This window comes from Homo sapiens, chromosome 14, assembly GCF_000001405.40.
Source record: "Homo sapiens chromosome 14, GRCh38.p14 Primary Assembly".
NCBI lineage: Eukaryota > Metazoa > Chordata > Mammalia > Primates > Hominidae > Homo > Homo sapiens.
In genome coordinates this window covers 61749453-61764194 of record NC_000014.9, presented here as the reverse complement: position 1 = coordinate 61764194, position 14742 = coordinate 61749453, and the positions used below count along the sequence as shown (strand labels likewise).

Sequence of the window (14742 nt, the reverse complement as noted above, 5' to 3'; positions counted from 1 at the left end):
TAGTCAAAGGAAAATTTTAAAACGGTAGTAATAATGAACATTTGACCAGCCTGGCCAACATGGTGAAATCCCGTCTCTACTAAAAATACAAAAATTAGCCAGGCTTGGTGGCACAAGCCGTAGTCCCAGCTACTCGGGAGGCTGAGGCAGGAGAATCTCTTGAACCCGGGAGGTGGAGGTTGCAGTGATAGGAGATCGCACCATTACACTCCAGCCTGGGTGACAGAGCAAGACTATGTCTCAAGAAAAAAAAATAATAATAATGAACATTTATTGAGCACTTAGAATGTATTTCTGATATATCAGCTCATTTAATCTTCACAACTACTATGAGGTTTATCATTGCCTCTATTTTACAGATATGGAAACTCAAGTAACTTGCCCCAAGTCATAGCGGACCCTGCAATCAAATGCAGCCAATTGGGTTCCATAACCTATGCCCTTAACAATCCCACACTGCCTTTTCAACTATACCATTACAACAAAATGTGGAAAGCGGTGACATAAAATAAAAACAGGGTGCTATGCGGGGAAAAAACATGAACAGCGTACTCAGTCTAGAAGAGCAAAAAAGACTTCCCCCGAGGATGTCATTTGAGCTTAACCCTGAGTGAAGAATAAGGTGGACAAAACAAGAGAGTTGCGGTGGAAACTCCAGGATTAGGAAAAGCCTGTAGAGGGCCCAAAGAAAAAAAAAAAAAAAAAAAAGCAGCTGCTGGAGCAAGAAAGTGAGTGCATGGAGGGGACTGGCAGGCGAAGCTGGAGAGATAGGCAAAGGCCAGTGAGGAATGGTCTTGGCAAGTCAGAGAATTCAAGCGTTATCCCAAAGGCAATGGGCACCACTACAGAGTAATAAGTCGGGGAGTGACATAATCAAATTTGCACTTTTGAAAAACAACTTTTGGGCCGGGCGCGGTGGCTCACTCCTGTAATCCTAGCGCTTTGGGAGGCCGAGGCGGGCGGGTCACGAGATCAGGAGTTCGAGGCCAGTCTGGCCAACATAGTAAAACCCCGTCTCTACTAAAAATACAAAAAATTAACCGGGCGTGGTGCCGGGCACCTGTAATCCCAGCTACTCCGGAGGTTGAGGCAAGAGAATCACTTGAACCTGAGAGGCGAAGGGTTGCACTGAGCCGCGAACGCGCCATTGCACTCCAGCCTGGGCGACAAAAGGAGACTCCGTCTCAAAAAAAAAAAAAAAAAAAAAAAAAAAGACAACTTTGGTTGTTGGAGGAAAAATTAATTCAATCTTGAAGGGTTTTGTCTTTGCTTGTGTGTTTTTAAACATCAGGTCCTAGAACAAGACTGGGGAAGGGCAAATGATAGTGGCCTGGCTCAGGGTGGAGATGGGAGAGAGGAGTTTAGAAGGGAGGCCAGGCAGAGACGCATATTTGGGAGGAGGCCGCAACAACCATCAGGGCACAATGAAATAGAGCAGGGAAAGCGCGTTGCCTGAGCACAGGGGAAGGTCCAGGAGTCATGGAGGCAACCTTCGGTGACTGCCGCTCTTCTCAGCCCTTCACAAGTGCAATATCGCCGGGAAGGAGGCAACTTTCTACACCACCTGCGGGCAGGGAGAGGCGGGTGGTGGACAAGAAACACCCACCAGAAGATAGTCCCGAACTTCATGTTTCTCCAGAGCTCCGTGAAGTCCTCGAAGCGTACACTGTCCGTCTCCTGGAAGCGGCTGAGCAGCGCCTCGCAGTCGGTCTGCAGGCCGGGAGGAGTCCCCATGGCACCCGAAGCCCGCACGCCTCCGAAGCCCGCACGCCTCTAACGGACTAGCCAGCGGTGGTCGCCCAGGAAACCAAGCCCGAACGGCCCGCCCCCTACGGCGTGCGCACACGCGCTCCGTGATGCATTATCCGGCACCTTTAGCTCCGCCTTTATCCGGGCTCTTGCCACCGGTCGTGTGCTTACTGCGCGTGCGTGAAAGCGTTCTGATGTTTTACTGGCTGAGATTGCTTTCACCCAGAGTGCTGAGATCCACCCTTCTTTGGAAGAGGTTTACGTCTAAAGTGTTGTGTTTGCTCACGAGCGGTTTTAGGTCTTCATTTTCCGCTAGGTTATGTAACTTGACTTTACCCTTACTAGCACTCTCCTTTAAACTGACCCTAGTGTGACATAAGTGAACTTTTGAGCTAGGAAAGAACAGTCCCAACCCCAACCCCACTCCCACTTGGGAAGAGAAGCTAAAGAAGGCTTGCTAGGAAACAAACTGCACTCATTCTCCTTCTGGTCATCGAGAACCCTAATACTCTGTACCCACATAATACGATGCTTAATGTGCGGCCCTCTCTTTGTAGCCCTGGCATTCTGCAACCACTCTTGAAAAGAAGAGCTGCATTTCATACCCTCTTGTAAACAGCCCTCCTCCTGCCCTGCCACGCATTCACCCCTGTGCTACATAGCACTTAGCAGAAAATACCTACTTGTTATATTCTTGTTATATTATTATTTGGATGAATTGCCTTTTTGTGTACACGCTGCCACCTAGCTTCCTTCCTCCAGGAGCTAGCTATGGAGTAACATTTTGAACTTTAGATCATTTCTCTGATTGAAAGGTAAGCTATCATTCTTTAGAAGAGGTATCCTGATATAATAGAAAAACATTGGGCTTTCTGTGTGTAAATGGAGTGTCAACTCACTTTACTTTTCTGATCCTTGACCTGTTTTTGTTTGTTTGTTTGTTTGTTTGGATTTGTTTGTTTTTTGTTTTGAGACGGAGTTTCGCTCTTGTTGCCCAGGCCGGAGTTCAGTGGCGCGGTCTCGGTTCACTGCAACTTCCGCCTCCCGAGTTCAAGCGATTCTCCTGCCTCAGCCTCCCGAGTAGCTGGGATTACAGGCATGCACCACTCCAACCGGATTTTGTTTTGTTTTGTTTTGTTTGTATTTTTAGTAGAGACAGGGTTTCACCATGTTGGCCAGGCTGGTCTCGAACTGCTAACCTCAGGTGATCCGCTCCCCTCGGCCTCCCAAAGTGTTGGGATTACAGACGTGAGCCACTGCACCCTGCCCTCTTGACCTGTTTTTTAAATGTTATGTAATATTTTATGTCACAGAAAAATTTATGCGATGTGTGAGATAAAAAGCATAGCAGTTAAACACCTGTACACCTTTCACCTGTGTAGGAACCAGAACATTACCAACGCCTTCACATCAATCTGCGATTTCCTCCTCTGACCTATTCCTTTGACTGTACCCTACTTTAATCACAGCTACTGGTTGGGCACGGTGGCTCACGCCTGAAATCCCAACACTTTGGGAGACAAAAGCAAGAGGATTGCTTAAGCACAAGAGTTGGAGACCAGCCTGGGAAACATGGTGAAAATTAGCCGGGCATGGTGGTGCACACCTGTAGTCCCAGCTACTCGGGAGGCTGAGGTGGGAGGATCATTTGAGCCTGGGAGATGGTGGTTACAGGAGACAGAGGTTGCAGTGGTGAGCCGAGATCGTGCCACTGCACTCCATCCTGGGCTACGGAGTGAGACCGAATCTCAAAAAATAAATAAATAACTACCTTGAATTTTGTTTCTCTTTCTCATGTATATATTTTATCACATATGTATGTATATTTAAACGGTATATTTTTTAGTTGTGGTTGGTTTTGAGTTTTATGAAAATGGTATTGCAACTGGCTGGGCGCAGTGGCTCACGCCTGTAATCCCAGCAATTTGGGAGGCTGAGGTGGGTGGATCACCAGGTCAAGAGTTCGAGACCAGCGTGACCAAAATAGTGAAACCCCGTCTCTAATAAAAACACAAAAATTAGCTAGGCGTAGTGGCGTGTGCCTGTAATCCCAGCTACTTGGGAGGCTGGGGCAGGAGAACCACTTGAACCTGGGAGGCAGAGGTTGCAGTGAGCCAAAATGCATTATTTCCCCCATGATAGAGTGGGGGAACCATTTGGGAAATGGTTCATTACAACAGATAATTTGAGAAGCACTGTTATACACCATTTCAGTCCACATTCCATTGGCCAGAACTCAGTCACATGGACCCATTCAGGTGCAAAGGTGGCTGAGAAACGTCATCACTAATTAGGCAACCTCTCCCCAACAATAGTTTCAATCGCTGGAAGAGGTGCACACGTCTTTGTTGGACCACGTATTAGCTCATTTCTGCTGCTATAACAAAATACCATAGAATAGGTAGCTTACAAACAACAGAAATTTATTTCTCACAGTTCTGGGAGGCTGGGAAATCTAAGATCAAGGTGCTGGCAGATTCCGTGCCTGGTGAGGGCTGCTCTCTGCTTTCAAGATGGCACCTTGTTGCCGTGTCCTCACATGGCATAATAGCGGAAGGACAAAAGAGGCCTAGCTAGTTCCCTCCAGCCCTTTTATAAAATCACTAATCCCATTCATGAGTCCTCATGACTTAATTACCTGCTAAGGCCCTACCTCTTAATGCTATCACATTGTTAATTAAGTTTCAACACATTGATTTTGGGAGACATTCAGACCAGAACAGACTGCCAACATGTCTGCTGCAATTTTATTCAGAAACTCTGAAAGTATTACCTTTCACTTTTAATTTACTGTCATCCATCTAAAAATTTATTTCTATGTATGGTATAAGGATCCTATTTCACTTTTTTCCATATGTATAACCATATGTATGTATATGTATTTCCCGTATGTATAATTTTCCAGCATCTGTTATTGAAAAGTCCATCCTTTCCCAAAATTCACTTCTGTTATATGTCAAGTTGCATGGCTAATTGCAAACAGTACACAACTATGGCTTTGTACCTGTTATTAAAATACCAAACCATAGTGCAGTATTTCCATTACTGTTAGTATAACAGTTACCACTCTAAGCCTCCTTACTACCCTCATCCCAAACACTTGGGCCCCCCAGGCCACAAATCCCTCAACCTCCCAGCCTCTAAAACTGAAGTGGTTAAGCCTGGCACAGGAAGGAACCTTCAGTGCCGGCTCCAGCTTCAGTCTACTCCTAGGGTTGTTATCTACTTTCAAGGCTCCATTTAGATTTCACTTCTCTAACACCACACTAATTACTACAGAGTATCTTGACTATTCTTGAATTTTCACTTTTTCATATAAATTTTAAATTTGACTTGTCAAATTTCTCTGATAGCGCCATTGGGATTTCAATTGAATTACATTAAATCTGTAAGTCAATTTGGGAAGGAATAACATCTTTTTTTTTTTTTTTTTTTTTTTGAGATGGAGTTTCATTCTTGTTGCCCAGGCTGGAGTGCAATGGCGCGATCTCAGCTCACTGCAACCTCCACCTCCAGGGTTCAAGTGATTCTCCTACCTCAGCCTCCCAAGTAGCTTGGATCACAGGCATGTGCCACCATACCCAGCTAATTTTGTAGTTTTGGTAGAGATTGAGGTTTCACCATGTTGGTCAGGCTAGTCTCAAACTCCTGACCTCAAATGATCCACCCGCTTCTGCCTCCCAAAGTGGTGGGATTACAGGCATGAGTCACTGCGCCTGGCCAAAATAATATCTTTATTGTATTATTTCTATCCACAAACATTTCTTTAAGTCACCTGTAGCATCTTTACTGAAGTTTCATAATTTTTCTCCCTGAACTTTTTACTTGTCTTTTGTTAGATTTTTCTTATATGTCTTATGTTTTTGTGTGGCTATTGTATTTAGTATCTTTGCCTTACATTTTCTAACTGCTTGATTCCAATATATAAAAATGCAATTGAATTATATATATTTATTTAGTATCCAGTCCCCTTGTTTAAACTCTTATAATAATTTTTCTATTGATTCTTTTAGGCTTTCTATATAGATGATATCTGCAGCTGTGAATAACAGTAGTAATAATAGTTTGCTTTTTCCTTTCCAGTCCTTATCGCTTTTATTTCTTTCCCTCTTACTTCATTTCCCAGGCTAAGACTTCCCATACTGTTAAAGATAAACCTGGGAGAATGGGTGTGTGTTTGTTCACTAATGTACCATCAGCACCTATAAGTACTTGATACACAGTAGGTGCTCAATGAAGTGATGTTTTTATTTGTTATTTTACTTTTTAGCTCCAGAATTTCTATTTGGCTCTTTTAAAAATAATTTCTAGCTATTTGTGTTCTGTATTTGATGAATTATTGTCACCATACATTCCTTTACATCTTTACGCAGAGTTTCCTTTGATTCTTTGAATATACTTTTAATGACTGCTCTAAAGTCTTTATTAAAAAGTCAGCCATCGAGCCCTCTGTTATGTAATTTCTCTTGCATCCTTTTTTCCTGTGTATGGATCAAATTTTCCTGTTTCTTTTCATATCTCATGCATTTTTTATTAAAGATTTGATACTTTAGACAATTTATTATATAAATCTGGGTATTGATTGCTTCCCCTTCTGAAGCTTATTGATTTTGTTTACTTATTTATTTGTTTACTGACTTGACTGGAGTGCTTTAGTGAAGTCCAGTTCCCCAGCTCAGTGTGAAGCTTCTGATGTTGCTCCTCAGAGACTGCAGCCTTGACCTTCCTTAGACCCTTCACCCTGGGATGATAGTGGTTTTACCAGTAATCTTTGTCTTTCCCCATCTCTCTGTCAAACTGTCTGCCTTTTAGTATCCACCCAGCTGTTAGAGTCCACTAATTGCTAGCTGATTGCTCTGTTGTTTTTGACAATGCCCTGGGGGAATAAATTACTCCATTGTCTAATCTGATTAAATTTAGGCTCCTTTGCAGAGGTAGTTTTTGAGTTCAATCTTGAGGTTTGCTCTGATCCCAGGAAGGCTCTTCTTAGCCATTTCTTCCCTAGCTTTTTCTGGTAAACTAGTGGTCTGCAGTTTAGCTTGTTGCTTTTAGAAGGTACTAGCCTCCTCTTAATTGCTTACAACCAAAATATCCATTGTTTTTAAGAGCACCTTTAGGTTCAAGTTTTCCCCTACTCCGTTCCAAATAAACTAATTTCTTCTGGGAAGAGCTTCAGAATTTTCTTTTCTTATGGATGTTTCTCCCCCTGAGCAAAATCTCTGAGCCACTGCTCCAGCCAGAGCTGAGGATGGGGACAGTCACTTTCTTCTCTCAGAGTAACTCTCCTTCATTTTTTTTTTTTTTTTTTTTTGAGATGGAGTTTCACTCTTGCTCCCCAGGCTGGAGTGCAGTGGCACGATCTCGGCTCACTGCAACCTCCACCTCCCGGATTCAAGTGATTGTCCTGCCTCAGCCTCCCAAGTAGCTGGGATTACAGGCACACGCCACCATGCCCAGCTAACTTTTTGTGTTTTTAGTAGAGACGGGGTTTCACCATGTTGGCCAGGCTGGTCTTGAACTCCTGACTTCAAGTGATCCGCCCACCTCGGCCTCCCAAAGTGCTGAGATTACAGGCGTGAGCCACCACGCCTGGCTGACTCTCCTGCTTTATAAGCAAGGCTCTGCAAGGGGGAAGTAGCTTCCATTCATTCTTCTCAGCTTGCCTGTCCTTGCTTGGAACTCGCACCCTATATGTGAGCTGCAATAAGGGCAACTGGGGCTCCACTACTCTCAGTCTGCTACACCTGGGATAGAGCCACTGCTCTGTGAATGCAGTCTGAAAGGAGGAAAGGAGTCCCCAGTCTTTCCATTCTCCAGGCCACACTCATCTGGAATTTAGCCTTTGCAACAGAACATGAGAGCGGGTAGAAATGCTGGCAGCTTGTCCCTCCAGGGAGATACACAATATGGTTTGGATGTTTGTCCCCTCCAAATCTCATGATAAAATGTGATTCCCAATGTTGGAGGTAGGGCCTGGTGGGAGGTGATTGGATCATGGAGGTGGATCCCTCACGAATGGTTTAGCACCATCCTTTTGGTGCTAAGTGAGTTCTTGTTCAGTTAGTTCACACAAGATCTGGTTGTTTAAAAGAGTCTGGGACGTCCTCTTTCTCTCTCTTGCTCCCTCTCTCACCATGAGATGTGCTGGCTCCCCCTTCACCTTCTGCCATAATTGGAAGCTCCTGAGGCCTCACTAGAAGCCAAGCAGATGCTGGTGCCATGCTTCCTATACAGGCTGCAGAACCATGAGCCAATTAAACCTCTTTTCTTTATAAATTACCAAGCCTCAGGTCCTTCTTTATAGCAACACACGAGTGGACTAACACAGAAAATTGGTACCAGGATTGAGGCATTGCTACAAAGATGTGGAAGTGGCTTTCAAACTGTAAACCAAAAGGTATCTAGAACAAATCTCAATCAATTTAGAAAGTTTATTTTGCCAAGGTTAAGGACACACTGGTGACACAGCCTCAGGAGGTCCTGAAGACATGTGCTGAAGGTGATTGGGTTGCTTTTGTACATTTTAAGGAGACATGAAACATCAATCAATATGTGTAAGATATACATTGGTTTGGTCCGATTAGGCAGGACAACTTCATTTAGAAGTTTTATTCCTAAATAAGACATTGTTCTCAGCTTGACTTTTCCCTTGGTTTAGTGATTTTGTGGTTCTGAGATTTATTTTCCTTTCATAGAGTAATGAGCACAGGAGTAATGAGCAGAGGCTGGAAGAGTTTGAAGGGCTCAGAAGACAGGAAGATGAGGGAAAGTTTGGAATTTCCTAAAGACTGGTTAAATGGTTGTGACCAAAATGCTCATAGTCCTCTACTGGGATTTGGGAGAAGAAGGAGCCCCATCTTCTTGGCCATACCCACCTGTGTGGAACTTTCCTCAAGGTGGGCAAGGTGGTAGAAGCAGCAAGTCATGTGAGGCATGAGTGGCATGTGAGGCATGAGTGGCATGTGAGGCATGAGTGGCATGTGAGGCATGAGTGGCATGTGAGGCATGAGTGGCATGTGAGGCATGAGTGGCATGTGAGGCATGAGTGGCATGTGAGGCATGAGTGGCATGTGAGGCATGAGTGGCATGTGAGGCATGAGTGGCATGTGAGGAGTGGCATGTGAGGCATGGTACTTGAGAGTACCTCTGACTAACTATTGCTGTTCTTACCAAGATGTAGTAGATTTTCTTGAATAAACAGTTCTTCATTTGCTGTATAACCTTTGGGCAGTTTCAATAAACTTTAAATGGTTGTTTTTAAAGTGCTTCACCAGTTACAGTTGTTTCATGGGGAGTGAGGCCACAGAGCTCTTTAAGCTGCCATTCTGCTAGGTATGCATTTAAAGGCATAACTCCTATCTTCAGGTTGCTCATCATTTAGTACAGAACAATTCACTTCAAGTACATAAGTACAATTTTAGTGTGATTAATACCGTGCAAGAGTTAAACACCACACAAAATGGGAACACTGAGGAGAATCTCCTAATCCAGTCCCTGAGAGGATAGGCTTTCTAAAGTAGAAATGAGTTGTGAAAAATGCAGGAAATTAAGGAGATGAAGATGAAATAAGAAGGGTGTTGCAGACACAGAGAGAAAGCAACTACAAAGGACAAAGAGGTCAGAGAGCGTGTTAGAAGGTTACATCACTGGGACACAGGACGCAAGGGAAAGAAGTTAGCAGAATTTGGACAAATAGGCAAGAGGTCTCAAGGCCTGGAATGCCTTGAGTTGGAAGATTTTTCTCCCTGGATTTCTCAGTGCTCCTGAACCGTTTGAGTAAAGGATAACTAGATATCAATCTTAAAGAAGAAAATTCGGAAGAGATCTAGAGACTTCTCTCACTTGGAACCATTTATTTACATTCCAAGGTGGTAAAGGAAAATTAAAGACCTGCCCTTTCTCTCTCACTATGATTATGTTATTTCTATATTTCAAATGTTCTCAATGGGAACAGTATAATGAATGTAAAACAGTAGTTGTCCTTGGAGGTGGAGTGCCAAAGGACTTTACTTCTTACATAATTCATTTCTGTATCTTTATAACATTTTACAAGGAATATGATTACTTTTGTTAACAGGAAAAAAGTAATTTTAAAATTTAGTAGCTATTGGCCGGGCACAGTGGCTCACTCTCGCCTATAATCCCAGCACTTTGGGAGGCCAAGGCAGGTGGCTCAGCAGAGGTCAGGAGTTTGAGACCAGCCTGGCCAACATAGTGAAACCCCATCTCTACTAAAAATACAAAAATTTGAGGCAGGAGAATCGCTTGAACACAGGAGACAGAGGGTGCAGTGAGCCGAGATCGTGCCACAGTACTCCATCCTGGGCGACACAGTGAGACTCAATTTCAAAAAAACCCACAAAAACCCAAAAACCAAAATAATGGGTACACTTGTGTGTGTGTGCGTGTATGTAGAGGTACAGCTGAAAAAAAGATCATCCATGAGTTGACCCCTGTTAAAGCTTGCACTGTGGGTGATATTGTGATGACACACAGATGTCTCAGGAATGAACCACTTACTCTCCAAGCTGCTGGAAGTGCAGCAGAAGATGGTCTTCAGCTGTCAGCCCTTTCTGGGGATTGTCTCAGGTGAAGAAACCTGCCTTACTAAAGGTCATGTCTCCTGGGGGCAGCCCACATCAAGGGACTGATCAGTGTAGGGGTGTAAAGGCCTCCATACTCCCTGTAACTTGGGACAAGTCTCAAGGGCTATTGCAGTTCCAGAGCTCCCCATGTGGCTGCTAAAGGCTTTGTTGGGACTGCTCCTCAGCTGTTTCTCCCTCTGCCTACTTCTGTTCTTTCTCTTCCACATGTGTTGAAAAGCACTCCCCAATAAATCACCTGAAATCTCCATCTCAGAGTCTACTTCCCAGAGAACACAAATTGCAAAGACACTTTGGCATCATTATAGTCTCTTTACTTTTGTACATGTTCAAGTTTCCATAATTATAATTTAAGAAAAGCAAAGGACTGTGTCAGACTATATATGGTAGATAAGGGAGTAGTGACAAGTGACCTCTAGGGTTCTGGTTTCAGACTGAATGGTGCCATTCCTTGAGCAGGAGATGCAAGAGGAGAAGCCATTTGGAAGACAAATAAGGAGTTAATTTTTGACATGCCAAATTTGGGGCGCCTGCGGGGAGCACCCTGGGCTGGAGACGGTGATTATCAAGCTGGAGACAGTCCATGAAAAGGAAAGGTAACGGTGGCTTGGAACATCTCAAAGGGCCAATAAAAACTCTATTTAGATTTCAACTGTGTTTGCACAAGTACAGTTGAATTTGTGAATACCTCACAGAATGGGAATTAACTGCACCCTTGATAGCAGGCACCATATTCTAGAATATTTATATCACCTAGAGGTCTTAGAATAATATCTTGTACTCACTCAACACTACTCATTGATTGAATGGATCTCCCTGGAAGAGCTAGAAAATGGTTCTGTTCCCCACTTTGTTCCTCTGATCATAATTCTTCTCTAGTCTCTGACACACCTGAAATCCTCTCCACCTTGGATCATGTGTGAGTTGTTTTTGCGCATGCAGAGTGGAAGGCTTTAGGACGGATCAAAGATGAGTCAGATGGGAACCATGCTCTGAAGAAACTAAGAGTTTAGTACGAGGGATAAGACATGCAAAAATTATAAGGTTAAAAAAAGAGAAGTGAGAAAGCTAAAGAGGAAGTGATAAGGAAATTCACAGGAATGATAAATATTTGCAGTTGGGAAAACTCTAAGTAAGAGGCAAAGGCTGATGCAAAGTACCTCCCAGGCTGTATTGGCTCCTTTCTAATTTTCCGTATTTGTAGCTCACTTTCTTTAGGTTTTTGCTTTAATATTCTACCAGCAGATTAGGGAGTCAGGCAACAGTTTATGACTTCTGTCCAGCTTGTTTCTGTACGCCTATGAAAGATTTTGTCATAGCAGTTGTATGTAGAACCGTTTTTAAAAATCCATTTCAGAGGAAATAATATTATCCAGTCATATTTGGAAAGGATCTCTACATAAAACAGGGTTTTTAATGTTAATATTTCAAAGATCTTTAAAATTAGATTTTACTTCACAGAATCCTAATCTACTTGTCTGACTTTACACAGTGTTTCTCTACTTTGTAAAAAGCATGACCCTTTGTGATAAATATTACAGCCCCACCAGCCTGCTCTCTTCTATGGAAAATTGTCCATCTATAATGATTATGCATCCGTAGGACCAAAAGAATTATGGCACTCTCATTAAAGGGCACCTCCCTGATTAGACACGAACACACACACATATGATAAGTGAGGCTACAGATCAGTTTTTATTAGTAAAAAAGTATCTAAAACACCTCAACTACTTTTGAAAAGTGTACCTTTGCTTTCTATAAAATGCTATTTGAGGAAACCACAAACAATGAATTTTCCTGAAGGAAACAAATGAAAATAAAATGTAAAATGTAGTGAGCTGTGGATATGCAGAGGCGAAGTTATTTATTCTAAATACCTGGCTTTGTACTTTATAATACATTGTGCAATCTGAACATACCAATTATTACAGAGATTAAGGCTCCAAGCTTTTTCCGTACTCTATACACTCATCTCCCTTCTGTCCAACAAGATTATCTTCTCCCAAAGGATTCTCAATAGCTGGCATACAATAAAATCAAAACAGTAAAAAGCCCAAAAAACCACCCCCCACAAAACCACCAAAATAAAAACGGCACCAAGTGGGATAAAGTTTCGAGATCCTTAACTAGGCATATCTCAACGTGCTTTATTTAAAATAAACGAACTCTTTGAGTGCCTTAAGAGGAATATATTTAAATAAACATAGAACTCCTCTATTTTTGATTAGATGTCTAATTTTTTTTAAAAAAGTATTATATAACTAACCACTATCCAATCTGTTAGAACTCAACTTTTTCTATTCTACAAAGAAAAAGCTTCATACCCCAAAGCATTTGCTTGGGAATTTCGGGAGGCAGCTCTTCCGCAATACATCAAGTCCCATTCGCCCACGCCCCCCCCATCTAAAAAACAAAGTTTGGGGAAGCACTAGGCTTCCGACTTTGACAAGTCCCAGAAGACAAAGCCCAGGGCTGACCCCCCACGCCTGGCGCCGCCCGTTCGCAGGCCAGGAGCGGCCAGGGCCTCCCGCATGCGCTCCCACACGTACGCGCAGCGGGCAGCAGCCACCCCACAGCGTACACGAAAGTCGCCTTGCGCGGCTGGAGCCCTGGAGCCCACGGCCGGGGCCGCGGGCGGGGCCCGGGACTGCGGTGCTGCGCCCGAGCACGTACTGAGGCGTGGCCTGCCGCGCGCCGGGCGGGGCTCGGGAAGTTTCTCGGGTTGGCTTGGGTTTCGCATCCTCATCATGTAGCGCCAGCCACACCAGGAACAGAAGGGTGCCGGGTACCTTCCGCATGCTTGGTATTCTCCCCGCGGGGCTCTGACCGCTGCCGCTCTCAGGCACCTGTCTTTCCTCTCCGTCCCAGAATGGAGCCAAGACAAGGGAATAAACGAAATTCAATAGTACACGGAGATCGGGTGTCTGGGCAGCGTCTTGGAAAAACTATCCACTACAGGTAAGAATAAAAATTATGTCCAAACCTCTGAAAGGTGTGAACACATCAAAGCTCCAGAAGGCGTTCATAGGAAGGTTTATGGTAAAGTATAACTTTTATCCTACAGGGAGACTATTTTTGTATCGAATTCCACTAATTTCACTATTTCTCTGTAAAATAATCTGGGACGACAGGTTCATCTCTATTTAAAGGAACGAAATGTGAGCAAAGTGGTTAGTGGAAAACTTAAAAAAAAAAAAGTAAAAGTTTTTTTCTTTACATTTTTGTTGGTTCCAGCTGGCAACACGTTTGCAAAGGTTTTATTTAACCAAATCTTAATGTTGAAAAAAAGAAAAAAAGAGGATTCTTTACTCTGCAACTTGTTTTAGGTATTGCTACTTAAACATTTTGAACTTTTAGATTAAGTTTCTACAAAGCGAGTAATTTTAAGTTCATCTTTTCTGTACAGAGGCTTCTAGGAGGAAAATAAGATTTGGAATGATAATCGTGAGGTTATAAAAACTTAAACATATCTATTATGCCATTAAGTCAAAACAGCTCTGGGAAAAAATACCATACATTGATACAGTCTTTTATAGTTTGTGCTTTCCCATTCACTACCTTGTTAATTTGAGTTAATGTCTCCATAACTGGATATCTCAATCTCTAGTTCAAATTCAGAACCCACTAAATGGCACTTGAAAACACTTTTATTCATTTCTATTTATGCCCTGCCACTCCTCTTAGGACATTCCCTCAATGTTATGTGATCTCATTACTTTCAAGTGACATCGGATCCTCAGTTTTCCACACCTCCATTGCCGCCTTCTGTTTGCTATTTAAACAAACAGTTAACAATGGAGAAAAGGGTATGTTCAACTGGATTGGCTAGCACTGCAGGGTGGTTAGCTCCATGGACTTTGGAGTCACTCATGGCCACCTCAAAAGCTCCGAGCCTTAGATCACTTCTTCAAGACTATATACTGTATAGATATACTCCTCCCTTATCTGGTACTGCTATGAATGAACTATATATAGCATTTAGATCTCAAATGAAGATTTACCCAAGCTCTAAAAGTAATAGATGGCAGACCAGAAATGTAAGCTTAAGTCTCCTGACTCTAAAGTCAAACTTAGAACAAACTTGGTTTGTTTTTTAATGATACTGCATTAAAAAAATTAAAATAGCTTTATTCTTTTTCTCCTGTATTTTTATGGAATAGCTACATTTCTTTTATACTCAGAACATACATTCTCATTTTTCTGGGTTATGAGTATAAAAGAAATACAGCTGTTTCATAAAGTAAGGATTATAGTTGCCAGGGTTGGGTTATAAGCCTTGGACAAAACCATTATGAAGAAATTTGTGACGGTGCATAAAATTGGGAAGGGCCAGTTCTGCTATTCCGTAGCTTAAAGCACTCCAAGGAGCTTGTTGTCTTAGTGACTGAGC

General features: G+C 42.9%; 1 protein-coding gene and 1 long non-coding RNA gene across 2 annotated transcripts in view, besides 11 other annotated features; one reads left to right on the top strand and one right to left on the bottom strand.

Annotated features, from left to right (window-relative positions):
• Positions 1 to 1775, bottom strand: part of SNAPC1 (small nuclear RNA activating complex polypeptide 1) — a 34009-nt gene extending 32234 nt beyond the window's left edge. The window contains exon 1 of the mRNA NM_003082.4: positions 1607 to 1775. Within this exon, the coding sequence (NP_003073.1) occupies positions 1607 to 1734 (128 nt within the window). The 5' untranslated portion in view covers positions 1735 to 1775. The remainder of the gene's footprint in view (positions 1 to 1606) is intronic.
• Positions 805 to 1548: an enhancer, noted in NCBI's record as "H3K27ac hESC enhancer chr14:62229365-62230108 (GRCh37/hg19 assembly coordinates)". NCBI's record gives its function as "activates a minimal SCP1, AML or CMV promoter by ChIP-STARR-seq in primed H9 embryonic stem cells {active_cell/tissue: H9 hESC(primed)}" and the evidence as "EXISTENCE:reporter gene assay evidence [ECO:0000049][PMID:30033119]".
• Positions 1549 to 2292: an enhancer, noted in NCBI's record as "H3K27ac hESC enhancer chr14:62228621-62229364 (GRCh37/hg19 assembly coordinates)". NCBI's record gives its function as "activates a minimal SCP1, AML or CMV promoter by ChIP-STARR-seq in primed H9 embryonic stem cells {active_cell/tissue: H9 hESC(primed)}" and the evidence as "EXISTENCE:reporter gene assay evidence [ECO:0000049][PMID:30033119]".
• Positions 2293 to 3036: an enhancer, noted in NCBI's record as "H3K27ac hESC enhancer chr14:62227877-62228620 (GRCh37/hg19 assembly coordinates)". NCBI's record gives its function as "activates a minimal SCP1, AML or CMV promoter by ChIP-STARR-seq in naive H9 embryonic stem cells {active_cell/tissue: H9 hESC(naive)}" and the evidence as "EXISTENCE:reporter gene assay evidence [ECO:0000049][PMID:30033119]".
• Positions 2360 to 2449: an enhancer, noted in NCBI's record as "active region_8502". NCBI's record gives its function as "activates an Ori minimal core promoter by ATAC-STARR-seq in GM12878 lymphoblastoid cells {active_cell/tissue: GM12878}" and the evidence as "EXISTENCE:reporter gene assay evidence [ECO:0000049][PMID:35858748]".
• Positions 3037 to 3781: an enhancer, noted in NCBI's record as "H3K27ac hESC enhancer chr14:62227132-62227876 (GRCh37/hg19 assembly coordinates)". NCBI's record gives its function as "activates a minimal SCP1, AML or CMV promoter by ChIP-STARR-seq in naive H9 embryonic stem cells {active_cell/tissue: H9 hESC(naive)}" and the evidence as "EXISTENCE:reporter gene assay evidence [ECO:0000049][PMID:30033119]".
• Positions 7027 to 7612: an enhancer, noted in NCBI's record as "NANOG-H3K27ac-H3K4me1 hESC enhancer chr14:62223301-62223886 (GRCh37/hg19 assembly coordinates)". NCBI's record gives its function as "activates a minimal SCP1, AML or CMV promoter by ChIP-STARR-seq in naive H9 embryonic stem cells {active_cell/tissue: H9 hESC(naive)}" and the evidence as "EXISTENCE:reporter gene assay evidence [ECO:0000049][PMID:30033119]".
• Positions 8011 to 9210: an enhancer, noted in NCBI's record as "P300/CBP strongly-dependent group 1 enhancer chr14:62221703-62222902 (GRCh37/hg19 assembly coordinates)". NCBI's record gives its function as "activates an origin of replication core promoter dependent on BRD2, BRD4, P300/CBP, MED14 and CDK7 cofactors, with strong dependence on P300/CBP, by STARR-seq in HCT116 cells {active_cell/tissue: HCT116}" and the evidence as "EXISTENCE:reporter gene assay evidence [ECO:0000049][PMID:35650434]".
• Positions 8011 to 9316: a biological region, named in NCBI's record as "P300/CBP strongly-dependent group 1 enhancer GRCh37_chr14:62221703-62222902".
• Positions 8315 to 8814: an enhancer, noted in NCBI's record as "OCT4-NANOG-H3K27ac hESC enhancer chr14:62222099-62222598 (GRCh37/hg19 assembly coordinates)". NCBI's record gives its function as "activates a minimal SCP1, AML or CMV promoter by ChIP-STARR-seq in naive H9 embryonic stem cells {active_cell/tissue: H9 hESC(naive)}" and the evidence as "EXISTENCE:reporter gene assay evidence [ECO:0000049][PMID:30033119]".
• Positions 8815 to 9316: an enhancer, noted in NCBI's record as "OCT4-NANOG-H3K27ac hESC enhancer chr14:62221597-62222098 (GRCh37/hg19 assembly coordinates)". NCBI's record gives its function as "activates a minimal SCP1, AML or CMV promoter by ChIP-STARR-seq in naive H9 embryonic stem cells {active_cell/tissue: H9 hESC(naive)}" and the evidence as "EXISTENCE:reporter gene assay evidence [ECO:0000049][PMID:30033119]".
• Positions 12767 to 13076: a silencer, noted in NCBI's record as "silent region_5825". NCBI's record gives its function as "represses an Ori minimal core promoter by ATAC-STARR-seq in GM12878 lymphoblastoid cells {active_cell/tissue: GM12878}" and the evidence as "EXISTENCE:reporter gene assay evidence [ECO:0000049][PMID:35858748]".
• HIF1A-AS3 (HIF1A antisense RNA 3) overlaps positions 13098 to 14742 on the top strand; it is a 35540-nt gene continuing 33895 nt past the window's right edge. The window contains exon 1 of the long non-coding RNA NR_144368.1: positions 13098 to 13310. This is a non-coding gene — a long non-coding RNA (HIF1A antisense RNA 3). The remainder of the gene's footprint in view (positions 13311 to 14742) is intronic.